General features: G+C 41.1%; 1 protein-coding gene across 22 annotated transcripts in view; it reads left to right on the top strand.

Annotated features, from left to right (window-relative positions):
- Positions 1 to 12,783, top strand: part of MBTD1 (mbt domain containing 1) — an 83,534-nt gene that overhangs the window by 54,422 nt on the left and 16,329 nt on the right. For 18 of the 22 annotated variants that reach the window (XM_011524926.4, XM_047436322.1, XM_011524928.3 and 15 more), the window contains 6 exons: positions 2,612 to 2,746; positions 3,309 to 3,397; positions 3,602 to 3,836; positions 4,460 to 4,515; positions 4,841 to 4,945; positions 11,176 to 11,323. In XM_011524926.4, coding sequence (XP_011523228.1) covers positions 2,612 to 2,746; positions 3,309 to 3,397; positions 3,602 to 3,836; positions 4,460 to 4,515; positions 4,841 to 4,945; positions 11,176 to 11,323 — 768 coding nt within the window. Of the gene's footprint in view, positions 1 to 2,611; positions 2,747 to 3,308; positions 3,398 to 3,601; positions 3,837 to 4,459; positions 4,516 to 4,840; positions 4,946 to 11,175; positions 11,324 to 12,783 lie in introns of those variants that run through there. The other 4 variants (XM_011524935.4, XM_011524934.3, XM_047436327.1 and 1 more) reach the window with 3 other exon arrangements.

Genomic DNA, 12,783 nt, shown 5'->3' with positions numbered 1-12,783 from the left:
TAAAAATGTAAAAGTAATTCTTAGATCACAGCCATAAAAATAATCCAGCAATAGACCAGATATATAGGCCATAATGTATATGTTACTTTGAAAAGTAACAAAAGTTGAGGTACTAAAAAAAGTGGTAAGAGCTGGCCACAGTGACTCATGCCTGTAATCCCAGCTTTTAGGGAGGCAGAGGCGGGAGGTTAGCTTGAGCCTAGGAGTTCAAGACCCACCTGGGCAAAATAGCGAGACCCATTCTCCATTTTAAAAAAATAAAAATAAAGTGGTAAGAACCTTAATACCAAATTGATACAAGTGTTGATAATTTTATATATCTTGGGTTCTTCCGTTCTGTTTATTCCCACTGCCTCCACCATACCAAGCCCTTTACTGCTCATGAAGTAAACATGTTAGGAATCTACTATGGTAGACAATGTGGACAAAAGATGATATCCAGAAGTATAAGACTTGTATTTTTTCCAGCATGTTCACATCGGCCAAATGTTGACTACTACCAGGTATTAATATGACAAGATACTCAGTGAGTAGTGTAGTAGGGCATTGTGGAGGAGAGGCAGGCAGCCACTCATAAGAAAAGTTATCTTCAATTACTACTGTGACAGATTTTTAACTCCTCCCACTCTCTCTAGTTTTATTTCCGGCATTCTCCTCAAAACACACTGTAGACTGCTCTGTTGTGTACTGCTAATTGACTTAATTTACCTAAAAATTATTTTAATTTTATTTTTCTGTTCAAGCATCTTTTATGGCCTCTTTGTACTTAAAGGATCAAGATAGCCAGCATTTATGACTATTGATGAGTTGCACCATATACCACATGCCAGATGTATTGTAGTTCTCCAGCATAAATGATCTGTTGTGATGAGGCCAGTCTCCCTCTCCCTTTCATACAGCACGTTTTTGTCACCTCTGTGCCTTGGGTTACTCTTGCAAGAGTGTCCCATCTCTGTACTGAACTGTACTACTACCCAAGTCAATTCCCCATCTTTTTCTTGAAACATTTTCCCAGCTGTATAAGCATTCACTAAATGCTTGTATTATTCTCTACACTGTAATTTAAAACAACAGCATATTATTTTTGCCCTGGGTGTTTAAGTTAGTTACATTTAAATAGCTCTTAAGATCAGTGCATTTACTATCCAAAAATTACTTCTGCCTTCCATCTCCGATTTTACATTTCTGTTTTATCTAACTGCATCATGTATCTTCTTTTAAGCCACTTTAATGCCATTGTAGAAGTGAGCCTAATGTTAACCAGAAGCTAGAGTTCAGCAGTAATTAGCAAACTCATAAATTGTTCTGAGAAATTATTGAATTTTAAAACTGAACATTTAAGGCTATAAATTTTCACAAACATGAAAATGCTGACTAAACTTGTCTCCTAACCTGAAATACACATATATTGGCCTTTTTCTGTTTCATTAAAGGCCTTAAATTAAATCGTAATCTTTTATCAACATAAAGTTTATAGAATTATAAATAGGATATATTACATATTTTTTGTACTTTCCAAGAGTAAGCCTTCCTATTTGCCTAAGACATAGTTTTTAACTCATTTTACATAATTTTCTTTGTGTTTATTGAACTTTTTACCTGGCATATTCAAATCTTATTTCCAAATACATACGACAGAAAAATTTAGATTCTTAAAGTAGCCACATTCAAATTACCCAGGAGTAATTGGCCACCTAAGCAGCTGGATAAAGCAATTTCTTTGAAATACATTTCAAGGCCAAGCACAGTGGCTCATGCCTGTAATCCCAGCCCTTTGGGAGGCCAAGGCGGGCAGATCACCTGAGGTTGAGAGTTCGAGACTAGCCTGGCCAACATGGTGAAACCCCATCTCTACAAAATACAAAAATTAGCTGGGCATGGTGGCGCACGCCTGTAATCCCAGCTACTCAAGAGGCTGAGGCAGGTGAATCACTTGAACCCAGGAGGCAGAGGTTGCAGTGAGCCAAGATCACACCACTGCACTCCAGCCTGGGCGATAGAGCAAGACCCTGTCTTCATAAAATATATATATATATATAATTATATATAATATAAATAAATATATAATATGTATTTTTATATGTTTATATGCTTATACATAAATATGTATGTTATATGTATAATTACATATATATGCCTATAATCCCAGCTACTTAGGAGGCTGAGGTAGGAGAATCGCTTGAACCCAGGAGGCCAAGGTTGTAGTAAGGCAAGATTGCACCACTGCACTCCAGCCTAGGCAACAGAGCAAGACTCCATCTCAAAAAAGAAAAGAAAAAGAAATTATGGGTACAATTGAAATACATGTAAGGATGCCATGCTCTGAAAACAGTTGAACTGTTTGCACTGAACAGATGGTTCTCAAAGTTTGGTTCATAGACCAGCAGCAACAGCATCACCTGAGGACTTGTTAAAAAGGCATATTCTCAGTTCCCACCCAAGATCTACAAAATCAGAATCTCTGGAGTGAGACCCAGCCATCTGTCTGTTAACAAACCCTGCAGGTGATTGTATTGCAGATAGACACTAGTTTGACAACTGCTATCAGATGCTGTATTGTTTTATTTAATTTTATTTTCTTATTATGTAGTGATTTATTTCTGGGTTTCAGGTTACAATGCCCTTTTAAGATATGAAGGATTTGAAAATGACTCTGGTCTGGACTTCTGGTGCAATATATGTGGTTCTGATATCCATCCAGTTGGTTGGTGTGCAGCCAGCGGAAAACCTCTTGTTCCTCCTAGAAGTAAGTAGTTTATTTACCCTTACCGTAATTTTTTTATATGTGTACTTTAATGCTATTTTACACATAGTAATGTTAGAGTAATATGGAAATTAAAGGCCGGGCATGGCCGCTCACACCTGTAATCCCAGCACTTTGGGAGGCCAAGGCAGTCGGATCACTTGAGGTCAGGAGTTTGAGACCAGCCTGACCAACATGGCAAAACCCCATCTCAACTTCTCCCTAGCTGGGCATGGTGGTGCATGCCTGTACTCAGGAGGCTGAGGCAGAAGAATCGCTTGAACCGGGGAGATGGAGGTTGCAGTGAGCCAAGATCACGCCACTGCACTCCAGCCTGGGCAACAGAGCGAGACTCCATCTCAAAAAAAAAGAAAGAAATTAAAATAGTTTTTTTGGTGTTAAGCAGCTTTTTGCTGGCAAGGCATATACTTGCTTTCTCTATATTTGTTACTTTTCAGAATGTTAATAGCCTGACTTTGCAAGGAAATTTGTTACTTTTTTAACAAATAATTTATGAAGCAGTTCTTTTTTGCTAAAGTATAACTGATTATTTCTTCTATTTTAGCTATTCAGCATAAATATACAAACTGGAAAGCTTTTCTAGTGAAACGACTTACTGGTGCCAAAACACTGCCTCCTGATTTCTCCCAAAAGGTAAAAAACAGGATCTTATAAAGACTGAAGAGCTCTAAAAAACAAGGGTAACAGAGAACATTTTTAAGGAATTGGTTTAATTTTGTGAACCAGATGATCTGTGTTACATTTCAAGTGCATTCAGTATTTTTTACAGTATAATACAAAAATTTCTTGTAGACCTTTGTCATGAATTTCGAGCAGTTTTTTTTGTATGCTTTTAAGGTTTCAGAGAGTATGCAGTATCCTTTCAAACCTTGCATGAGAGTAGAAGTGGTTGACAAGAGGCATTTGTGTCGAACACGAGTAGCAGTGGTGGAAAGTGTAATTGGAGGAAGATTAAGACTAGTGTATGAAGAAAGCGAAGATAGAACAGATGACTTCTGGTGCCATATGCACAGCCCATTAATACATCATATTGGTTGGTCTCGAAGCATAGGTCATCGATTCAAAAGATCTGGTAAGCACCTATCACAAGAACTCCTGTCAAAAGCATCATTGAGGCTGATTATACTAGTTGGTTATTTTTCTCTGCAGAATTGCATAGATGAAAAATAGCATTCTAGTTGTTTGGGCTGCTTCTTCTACCTTAATTAGTGAAGGTTCACACCATATTAGTGTCCTAATAAATTTTTTTATATTCCTTCCACTTGTTCTCCAAAAGAAGGAACTTCTTCTGGTCACAACTATAATTGTTTCTTTCTTTTATTATTCAGCCCATTTGAAAGATCTAAAGATACCTTTCCCTTTCCATTCAATTTTAATCAAAATAGCAAGATTAAATGTGGTTAGACTTAATACTAAGCACATGAAAACATGCTTCTAAAGTTGTAATTTTCTAACTAGGGAATTACATTAAAATTATGAGCATTAAAATTGGCTGAATGTATTTAAAAGCATATATGCACATGTACTCTGAAGAGAGAAAAGACTATTAAAGAATATTCACCCCAAATGTAGAAGGCATGTCTTCTTGCCATGTTTTATAGTATGACATACTTTGTGAGTTTGAAGCCTTCAAAGAACGTGGTTTTTGGTCTTCTCACAAATGCTGACAGATTAGTGTGTAACTTTTCCTTGTAGATATTACAAAGAAACAGGATGGACATTTTGATACACCACCACATTTATTTGCTAAGGTAAGAAGTTTTTATAAGAACCCTCATTTGTAAATTAGGTTTGAAAGAGGGTTGTGGGTTTTTTCCTAAAATTACGGAAATCACAATTACATATGTTCACTTAAAAGAATTAAGACCTTGTAAATTCATAGGTGTCACAACTCTTTATTATAATTATTCTTAAATTCTATTTGTCTGAATTCTCTCTAAACCTTAATGGAAGTTTGAGTTATAATATTAGGTAGGTAGGAGAAGGCACCTGGTAAATCTTTTCACATTGGTAATATTTTAATTATCAAAATAACAACATTTGTAACAGTAGATGTGCTTTCATATAATTCTTTAGGTAAAAGAAGTAGACCAGAGTGGGGAATGGTTCAAGGAAGGAATGAAATTGGAAGCTATAGACCCATTAAATCTTTCTACAATATGTGTCGCAACCATTAGAAAGGTAAGATAATAGGTTTTAAAATATAGAAATGCAATTATAGGATTTGGGTATAAGCTAATAGAAGGAGTCCCCAAGCATATTCGTTTTGACATAAAATGTGTATGTGTATATCTTCACTGGGGAGAAGGTTGCTAGGAATTTCAAAATAAATTTGAATCCTCTGATCTTACATAGTTTATTGTCAAGATTGTCATTTTGAGTCTGCTACACTTATTTATGGAAGTATATCCTAATTTAGAGGAAAAATATTTATTTAAGTTACTTCTAGACAAGGCTAGTCCAATTCAGAATTGTAACAAGGCCAAGTTTATCTTCAGTTTCCTGTGTTTCCTCTTTAGGCCTTTTTCTTCCTTTTGGTAGTAGTTTTTGCTGCTTTTCTCTTTTCCCCCTCATCTGAAACTGCTCTTACAAAAAGACCTAGAAGAGAAATTCTTGGGTTTTTTGTTTGTTTGTTCATTTTTTTTTGAGACAGTCTCTCTCTGTCGCCTAGGTTGGAGTGCAGTAGTGTGATCACAGGCTCAAGTGACCCTCCCACTTCAGCCTTCAGAGTGGCTGGGATCACAGGTGTGTCCTATCATGCCTGGCTAATTTTCTTATTTTTATTTTTGTAGGTACAGGGTCTCCCTAGGTTGCCCAGGCTGGTCTCAGATTCCTGGGCTCAGGCAATCCTCCTAAAGTGCTAGGATTATAGGCATGAGCCACGGCACCCAGCATTTTTTTTTTTTTTAAAGACATGGTCTCACTCTGTCATCCAGGCTGGAGTGCAGTGGCATGATCTCAGCTCACTGCAACCTCTGCCTCCCAGGCTCAGGTGATCCTCCTGCCTCGGCCCCCTGAGTAGCTGGGATTACAGGTGCATGCCACCACGCCCGGCTAATTTTTGTATATTTTGTAGAGATGGGATTTCACCATGTTGCCTGGGCTGGTCTCGAATTCCTGGACTCAAGTAACCCACCTGCCTCAGCCTCCCACAGTGCTGGGATTACAGGCATGAGCCACCGTACGTGGCATTTTTTTTTTTTTTTTTTTTTTGAGATGGTATCTCGCCCTGTCACCCAGGCTGTAGTGCAATGGCGTGATCATAGCTCACCACAGCCTTGAGCTCAAGCAATTCTCCCACTTCAGCTTCCTGAGCAGCTGGTACTGCAGGCAGAAGCCACCACACCCAACCAGTTTTTTTGTTGTTGTTGTTTTCTTAGCAATGGGGTCTCACTGTTGCCCAGGATAGTCTCGAACTCCTGAGCTCAAGCAATTCTGCTGCCTCAGCCTCCTGAGTAGCTGGGATTACAGGCAGGAGCCACCTGCCTGGCTAACATTGGCATTTTTTTAAGGTCTCAGGTGAATATCATGTACAGCCATGGTCAAGAACCACCTAAGGAAAGTCTACTTACATAAAGGTGTAACTTAAATCGTGATTTGCATTTCAACAGTTTAAAACCTTCAGCTAAAAGAAAAACAATTATGATGGCCCAGGCATGGTAGCTCACACTTGTAATCCCAGCACTTTGGGAGGCCAAGGCAAGCGGATCACGAGGTCAGGATATCAAGACCATCCTGGCTAACACGGTGAAACCCTGTCTCTACTAAAACTACAAAAAATTTAACTAGGCGTGGTGGCACACACCTGTAGTCCCAGCTACTCAGGAGACTGCGGCAGGAGAATCACTTGAACCCGGGAGGTGGAGGTTGCAGTGAGCCAAGATGGTGCCACTGCACTCCAGCCTGGGTGACAGAGCGAGACTCTGTCTCAAAAAAAAAACAGAAAAAAAGAAAAAGGAAAACAATTATGATGGCTGCCATGTCACATGGTCAGACAGCTGGACAAGACTGGCTCCAAACCCTGTTCTTCCTCTTTTCCTCACTAGTGATCAGAATGACCCAATAAGATTTAAAACAGGCCGAGGGGGGCGAATCACAAGGTCAGGAGTTCGAGACCAGCCTGGTCAATATGGTGAGACCCCATCTTTACTAAAAATACAAAAATTAGCCAGGCGTGGTGGCGGGTGCCTGTAGTCCCAGCTACTCGGGAGGCTGAGGCAGAAGAATCACTTGAACCCAGGAAGGGGAGGTTGCAGTGAGCTGAGATCGCACCACTGCACTCCATCCTGGGCAACAAAGCAAGACTGTCTCAAAAAAAAAATTTTTTTAAAACAGTGATTCCTGAAACACCTTGATCATGTTAAAAAGAAAAAAAAAGGCTGGGCCCTTTTTTTATTACAATTACAGGTGGCTCACACCTGTAATTCCAGCACTTTAGAAGGGCAGATCATGAGGTCAGGAGTTCAAGACCAGCCTGGTCAACATGATGAAACTAAAAATACAAAAAAATTAGCTGGGCCTGGGGCCAGGCACCTGTAATCCCAGTTCTTGGGAGGCTGAGGCAGGAGAATGCTTGAACCCAAGACACAGAGGTTGCAGTGAGCTGAGATTGTGCTATTGCACTCCAGCCTGGGCAACAAGAGCAAAACTCTGTCTCAAAAAAAAGAAAAAAATAAAGACTGCGTGCAGTGCCTCATGCCTGTAATCCCAGCACTTTGGGACTCCAAGGCAGGTGGATCACTTGAGGTCAGGAGTTCAAGACCAGCCTGGCCAACATGATAAAACCCCATCTCCATACAAAAATTAGCCAGGTGTGGTGGTGTGTACCTATAATCCCAGCTACTCGAAAGGCTAAGGCAAGAGAATCACTTGAACCTGGGAGGTGGAGGTTGCAGTGAGCTGAGATCGAGCCACTGCACTTCGGCCTAGGCATAGAGCGAGACTCCATCTCAAACAACAACAACAAAAATCACGTGGATTCCCATGATCGACTCCATGTCTACATGACCGGAATCACAGTCAAGGCCAGGCTTGGTGGCTCATGCCTGCAGTTCCAGCACTTTGGGACGCTGAGCTGGGAGGATCCTTTCAGTTCCAGATCCCACCCATGTGACAACAGTCTCTGTGTCTGTTAATTCTGATTACTGAGAAAGAGTCTGAATAGCTGAGCTAAGCCTTTGGTTTGGTTCCATATGTGATACATACAAGTCCCTAGTCTAGTCACCTGTATTTAGAAGAATGAAGAAAGGAATCCCATGTAAGTGGGGTAGTTCTGTCCAGAGGTCTTAGGCAAAGCTCTCAAGCTTGAGAGTAGTAAATTTAGTGTACATGTTTACCATATAGAAATAACGAGAGAAAGGAACTTGGGGGAAGAGACCAAAAGATAATGTGGAACCATTATTACAGGCTTTAAACACTTGGTCAAGTCATCCGAGAGTTCTTTAGTAGACAGGATAACTTGGTACAGGTACTGGCCTGAACAGAGGTTGGACTGAAGGAAAGTTTTACTGTCTAAGAGGGGCAGCATCCATAGAGGATGGCTGAAAGCAATTATATCAAATAAGATAGCAAAGTCAAGACAGAGATTAATGGCAAGTTGAGGTGGAGTTGTGGAATATGGTGATTGATAACCTCTAAAGGAGTAAGAGGAGTTGTTGATTTGACACCCTGTACTAACTCAGAGACTGTGTTCAGCATGCGGATAAAATGCTGGACCGAGACACTGGAAGAGAGGCAAACTCATGATAAAACTTTAGGAATCACTGGTGTAGAAGCTCATCATTGTAGCACTGGGGTGGATGAGGTCATCAAAACAGAAAAGAGCTAAAATCAGAAACTTGATGGTTGGAGGTGAAAGAGCATTCCAGAAGGAATGCAGAAAGAATGATCAGAGAGATGAGAAGATTGATTGGTAGACCAGAAGGTGATAAGAGACTAGGAGAAAATGTTTCAGAAAATTAAGAGTAGGCTGGGTGTGGTAGCTCACGCCAGTAATCCTAGCACTTTGAGAGGCCGAGGCAGGCAGATTGCTTGAGCCCACCTTGGCCCCCAGAGTTTGAAACCAGCCTGAGCAATAGGGCAAAACACTGTCTCTACAAAAATTAGCTGAGTGTGGTGGCACACCTATAGACCCAGCTATCCAGGAGGCTAGGGTGGGAGCATCACCTGAGCTCAGGGAAGTTGGCTGCAGTGAGCCATGATTGTACCACTGCACCCCAGCCTGGGTGACCTTGTCTCAAAAAAAAAAAAAAAGAAAAGAAAAATTAAGAGTAGTGAGCAAGTAGCAGAGACTCAGTGAGGTTGGGCAAATTAGGAGTTTATTCATGAATTTAGCAGTTTAGATAAAGGCAACATACTGCAGGAAAAAGCCAAAAACAAAAATTCAACAAGTAAAACTATGAAGGAATATTTGGGAGGCAGAGGCAGGAGAATCACTTGAGGCCAGGAATTTAAGACCAGCCCAGCCAACATGGCGAAACCCCATCTCTACTAAAAATACAAAAATAAGTCGGGTGTGGTGGTGAGCACCTGTAATCCCAGCTACTTGGGAGACTGAGGCAGGAGAATTACTTGAACCCAGAAGGGGGAGGTTGCAATGAGCTGAGATTGCACCACTGCACTCCAGCCTGGGCAACAAAGCAAGACTCCGTCCTCCATATATATATATATATATATATATATATATATATATATATATATATATATATATATATATATATATATATATATATCTTGTATATATAATAATAGATAAAGACAAAAATCAACTGCAAGGAGTTGCGTGGTATGTAACTTGAATTGAGTGTCTGGGTGAATAGAGTTTATTCTACTACTCTATAACCTTGAACCTATTTCAAAGGAAAAAAAATTTTTTTTCCCCTTTGAAACAGTCTTGCTCTGTCACCCAGGCTGGAGTGCAATGGCATGGTCTCGGCTCACTGCAGCCTCTGCCTTCCAGGTTCGAGCAATTCTCCCTGCCTCAGCCTCCTAAGTAGCTGGGATTACAGGCCCCCACCGCCATGCCTGGCTAATTTTTGTATTTTTAGTAGAGACTGGGTTTCGCCATGTTGGCCAGTCTGGTCTCAAACTCCTGACCTCAGGTGTCTGCCCATCTCAGCCTCCCAAAGTGCTGAGATTACAGGCATGAGCTACCACGCCCAGCCAAAATATTTTTAATATAGTGGAAATTGGGAAACATTAGAGTATAAGAGATGGTCTTTTGAAAGCAAAATTCCAGTGGTAATAGGGCAAGATGGGGAAGTTTGTCTTAGTTTTAAAAAGGGGGGGCAGCCTGGCCAAGGTGGGTGGGTCACCTGAGGTCAGGAGTTCGAGACCAGCCTGGCCAACATGATGAAATCCCATCTCTACTAAAAATACAAAAATTAGCTGGGCGTGGTGGCCCATACCTGTAATCCCAGCTACTTGGGAGGCTGAGGCAGAAGAATCACTTGAATCCAGGAGGCAGAGGTTGCAGTGAGCCGAGATTGACCCATTGCACTCCAGCCTAGGTGACGAGGGAAACTCTGTCTCAAAAAAAAAAAAAAAAAGGCAGGGTGGGCACAGCCAGACGTGGTGGCTCTTGCCAGTAATCCCAACACTTTGGGAGGCCACGGCAGAAGGATCACTTGAGCCCAGGAGTTTGAGACCAGCCTGAGCAACATGGTGAGACCCCATCTCTACAAAATAAAAATTAAACAATTAGCCGAGTGTGATGGCATGCACCTGTAGTCCTAGCTACTCAGGAGGCAGAGACAGAAGGATTGCTTGAGCCGGGGAGGTCAAGGCTGCAGTGGGCCATGTTCGCACCATTGCACTCCAGCCTGAGTGACAGAGCGAGACCTTGTCTCAAAAAGGGAGAGTTGGGTACTTGTTACAACAGTCTCTGAGGCGTGAAGAAATGAACAAGAGGACCCTTAATGTGGACCAGCCTTAGCATCTGCCATAGAGGAGTATGGTTATCTGTAGCATAAAAGAGATCAAGTTGGAGCTTGAAGAAGGTAGAGACCGTTTGTAAAAACTCTGTATGTGATAAATCAGAAAGAAAGAAGTCAAAGTGTTACCAAGTAGGATTTGGAGCCTAGCTGAAACTAGATAGGTAAATAGTAAGCACTCAGCCCAGTTTCATGATGCCGTGACAGCAGGCAGCTATAGCTATGGTCAAACGCACTGCTTTTCCCAGACCTCTGAGGTCAGTTATAGGTAATCCTGCTTTTGTTTCTGGAACACACTAGAATTTACATAGATTTTTTTCATTAGAACTTCTGTTATTTAACATAACTCAATAGAGAAGCATGTTTCACTTTGAAGAGACCTTTATATAATAGATTTTCCTTTCTTTTAGAATGTCAAAGTATTATTTTTATAATAGTGGTATCTAATTTCAAGTACTTAGAATTCTCTTCATTGAAAAGGTGCTAGCTGACGGATTCCTGATGATTGGGATCGATGGCTCAGAAGCAGCAGACGGATCTGACTGGTTCTGTTACCATGCAACCTCTCCTTCTATTTTCCCTGTCGGTTTCTGTGAAATTAACATGATTGAACTTACTCCACCCAGAGGTACTTCATCCTAATATAAACACTGGGTTTTAATTGTTGCTTTCTTCTTACATGGTTTTTGTTTACAACATTTAACACAGCCCTAGATTTCCTGAGTACGTATATAATGTGTGTGGATAAACATATACATACAGGAGCTGTAGGTTGCTCTAAAAATATAAAGTACTGTATTCTAGCGTACTTTAATAAATTACAGTAGTATAGAATTTTTCCTGAGCATCTGTGTATTTTATAATATGAATTGGTATTCTCAAACTCTGTTGAGTCAGTAATGTAGGCTCAACAGGCTATGGCATACATGATTTTTTTCTTTTTTTCCCAATAAAGACAGGGTCTTGCTCTGTTGCCCAGGCTGGAGTGCAGTGGCACAATCATAGCTCACGGTAACTTCAACTCCTGGGCCCAAGGAATCCTCCCACCTCAGCCTCCCTAGTAGCTGAAACTACAGCTGAAAGGCACAACCATGTCTGACTTTTTTTTTTTTTTCTTTGTATGTACAGACAGGAATCTCACTATGTTACCCAGGCTGGTCTTGAAGTCCTGGCCTCAACTGATCCTCCCACCTCAGCCTCCCCAAAGTGCTGGGATTAGGAGTGAACCACCACACTTAGCCATGTGGACTTTTTTTTTTTTTTTTTTTTTTTTTTGAGACAGTCTCGCTCTGTCACCCAGGCTGGAATGCAGGGGTGCTATCTCACCTCTTTACAGCCTCCGCCTCCCAGGTTCAAGTGATTCTTGTGCCTCCTCTCCCAAGTAGCTGGAATTACAGGTGTGCACCACCACGCCCAGCTGATTTTTCTATTTTTAGTAGAGACAGGGTTTCGCCATGTAGGCCAGGCTCATCACGAACTCCTGGCCTCAAGTGATCCACCCACCTTGGCCTCCCAGCATGCTGGGATTATAGGCGTGAGCCACTGCACCCAGCCCTATGTGGACTTTTAAAAGGATGGCTGTTTTACTCGTGGTTTAACCAGTGATTTTTCCAATTTTAATACTTGAGCATTAAGTTGTTCCTCTAAGAAAGGAGGAAAGCTATAACAGAGGTCTATAAAAAATAGTATTTGCTCAGCCAGTTTTCTTTCCTTGCAAGAAAGAAAAATATCAGTCCATAGTATTAGGTGCTAGACTCTTCTAAAGCCTAGGATTGAAAGAGCAAAAATGTACCATTGTAGTAAACAGAAAAAGAGAGCCACTTTTGCGTTAGACTAAGTAGGCACACCAGTGTTTCTAGAGAGGGGAGGGAAATCTGTGTAACATGGAGGAATTATTGCACTCAGCAGTATAAATCATATAGGCCAGGTGCAGTGGCTCACGCCAATAATCCCAGCACTTTGGGAGACTCAGGTAGGAGGATTGCTTGAGACCAGGAGTTTGAGAACAACCCGGGCAACATAGGGAGACCCTGTCTCTACTAAAAACAACAAAAAATTAGCCTGTCACAGTGGCATGTGCCTGTAGTC

Source organism: Homo sapiens, chromosome 17, assembly GCF_000001405.40.
Source record: "Homo sapiens chromosome 17, GRCh38.p14 Primary Assembly".
Classification (NCBI taxonomy): domain Eukaryota; kingdom Metazoa; phylum Chordata; class Mammalia; order Primates; family Hominidae; genus Homo; species Homo sapiens.
The sequence above is the reverse complement of the archived record's forward strand: the minus strand, read 5'-3'. Positions and strand labels throughout refer to the sequence as shown.